A 3,202-nucleotide genomic window follows, 5' to 3' on the forward strand; every position below is an offset into this window, starting at 1 on the left:
AACTTGGGTTTCAATCATGATCTATCAACCATACTAGATATTCTTCTGCCTGACTCCTGTTTCCACATCTGCAAAATGGGTAGAATAATATCTACCTACCATTTTAGTACTGTTGTGAAGATTAAATAAGATGGGCCGTAACTTTGTCTAGCTCATAGAAAGAACTCATGAAATAATGCTGTTGATAGCATTATTATTATTTATCACTAGCTTCTAGATTTTCTCAAGATATAAGTCTTCCTTTGGGAAGAGGCTCTGACCTCATTGTTTGTCTCAATTATGTTCTGTCCCAGAATGTCCATGACTGAGTGTCTTCTCGTCACTTCACTCTAGTCATGACACTCATCCTACCAACTAGTGAATATGCATGTCTGCCCCGTTATTAGACTATTGTCTCAGCATCAAACTCATTTTTCTATATTCCCTTTGGTAATGCTAGGGCTGAGACTCTTATTTTTCTTTTGCCAGAGGTTCTGTTAGGCATTGTCACTAGAGGGCACCAGAGGGAGACAGCTAGGCTAAAGGCAGGGACCACAAACACTTCCTGTTTGTGTCTTGCTCCTGTCTTGGTTTTCTGTTCTTATTTTAGTTTCCTGTTCCTATGTCACTCTAGCAACCCTTACACTGGTTTGTTCCAGTAGAATAGCTGATTCCAGTTTGCAATTTTTCCAACGCTTAAAGACCAGCCTCATCTCACCTCTCTGGTTCACCAGCTCTGCAGAGCCTCTCTTCCAAGTCACTAAGTGTTAATAATTTCAACTTCTTCCCTCATCCTCCAGGCCTAGGGTTATACTTAGTGTTCTCTTTTTGCCTTTTCATTTCTTTAATTCCTAGTTAAAAATCTTTATTTTAAACTCCTTCTATTAAAATAACAGGTGTGTATTTTATGTCCTGGCTGTACTCTGACGGACACAGATGAGCTGTATATCCTCCTTAGACTCTTCTTTAGACTCTATGCCAAGATCCCCTGGGGATAATCTTATATCCTAAGCTAAGTCAGTTCTTCACCATCCCATTATATATAGGCATTTCTCAAATATTTTCAGCCTCTGTGATTGTTAAGGCTAACTTAGCTCTCTAAGAAACTCTTGTCCCCACATCTAGCCACCACATTCATGTCTGCTGGCCCCTTAGAGAACAGACAGGTTTGCTCTACCTGATTGCCTCCAGTCATTTCCCTTTAAATCTTACCTCCCAGTGAGATCACCTATAAAAGGCTCCTGACTCAAGTTAGGAACATAGCCAATTGTTGAAACTGTTGAAGGTAGTAGAGAAAGGTAGACAAACCTGTGCTTCTCATGCCTATATCACTTATTTTACTTCTCTTCCATTTATCCCATCTCCAGGCCACTATAAAGAATCCATCAGTATTTTTCTCAAACATCATTTTCATCTTAGTTCTCCCTTCCTCAAGAATGTACAATGATTCCCTATTGCCCATCAGATCAAGTCTAACCACTGACAGACCCTGGGTATCATTAGGATGGCTTCAATCAATTAAACTGACAACATTCTATAGTCTTAGACTGATTTTTCCATTTTGTACTTCTTGCTTTAGTAACAAATTCAAATTCTTCCAGCTTTCTCTGTGTGTGTGTGTGTGTGTGTGTGTGTGCATCTGTGTGTAGAAGGAACTAGTGGAACTAGTAACAGCCTATAGGAATAGACCTACTAGGAGGATAAGATGCCTGGGAAGCTGGTCTACAGTTTAGCCAGGCTCACAGCTAACATGCAGGAGTACAGTACACTAGGGATAGGTGAATAGGGAGCCAGAGACTCCATAAAACTTGGCAAAAACCAAGAAGGAATCCCTTTAGAAATGAAAAAGCTTCTTGGGCAGGCTTGAAGCACTTCTTATCCCAGTTACATGCTGCCAGGGTCCACCAGGCATCCTCAGGGGGATCTGAAGTCCAGGAAATCATCATTCTTCAACCCTGAGGGTTGCTGTACCTCCACAATAAGAGGCCATCTGTGTACAATAAATACTATCTTTTACCTGCATTAAAGCTACTTGTGTACTTTGTCTATTTCCATCAGCCAAATATTATCACCCTTTGACAGCCACAAGTATCTGCCAGGTAAATTTCCACAGAAGGACTTCTTTAAAAATGTTTATTGTATAAAGAACTATCAACTAATCAATGATTATCTTTCATAATTAAACAGCTATCATCTTTAGTTGATTCTATGGTCGTTCCTCTGATTTTATTATATGTTGCCTACAAGGAAAATGGTCTGTGCCTAATTTATACGATTTGAAAAGATAGTTCATGCTGTGTGATTTTGTATGATTTATATGATTTATATGATTTTATAAGATATATGATTTTATATGATTCTATATGATTTATATGATTCTAAATAGCCGGGTGAAAATAGAAAATTGAGCCAAATGTCTGCAGTTTTTGTCTACATGGTATCAAACACCTAGATATTTAAAAATACCTGGATCATTGACATACCTTATAGATCAGCCTAAGAAGAAAAGTTAAAATGTGTAAAGCATATGTTTTTAGTGTTCTTACTGAATTTTTACTTGGCTAATAATGATTTTGCTTAAATGTTAAATTTTATGTTTGAGTTTTTTCCTTATAAAGATGACTTAGTACTAAATTATCCTTATTTTGATGTGCCTGTCATGACTTTTAAATATATTTACTGTCATTCATTTCATTTCAATGTTTCTTCTAAGTTACACTCTTGCCATTTACTCTATTTTAGCTCTATCATGATTAGGATATGGCATGATGCCATTTTTTTTTCATTCTTTCTTCAGGATTTATGCCAATATAGCTAGATTTCTCACTTAATGGTAAACTTCTCTGATTTCAGGAATCTAAAAAAAATACTGAGGGCAAAATGAGAGACATAATCAAAAGAAAGCTTATGTTACCTGATGTCACACACACAAAAAATGAAAATTTGATGAACCGGGTGTGGGGAAATTGTACTCTCTATTTGAATTCATCAGTGGCATACATTCTGAGCTTCACATGTGGCACATAGCAAGATATTTTAAAATTCTTCTTTCCATGAAATGAAATATGTTTACTATGCATATAGTACTGGAACAAGTACTGTATCCTTACTAGAATGTGAAGAATATACTTGGCTTGATAAATCATCTGGGGGCAATAAGCATGAGTAGCAAGGTACTTATTTTTGTGTAAATGTCCTTTAACTCACACCACTGGCCAAACCT

General features: G+C 37.0%; 1 annotated feature.

The window, feature by feature from the left end:
* Positions 493 to 602: an enhancer, noted in NCBI's record as "active region_7798". NCBI's record gives its function as "activates an Ori minimal core promoter by ATAC-STARR-seq in GM12878 lymphoblastoid cells {active_cell/tissue: GM12878}" and the evidence as "EXISTENCE:reporter gene assay evidence [ECO:0000049][PMID:35858748]".

Source organism: Homo sapiens, chromosome 13 (genome assembly GCF_000001405.40).
Source record: "Homo sapiens chromosome 13, GRCh38.p14 Primary Assembly".
NCBI lineage: Eukaryota > Metazoa > Chordata > Mammalia > Primates > Hominidae > Homo > Homo sapiens.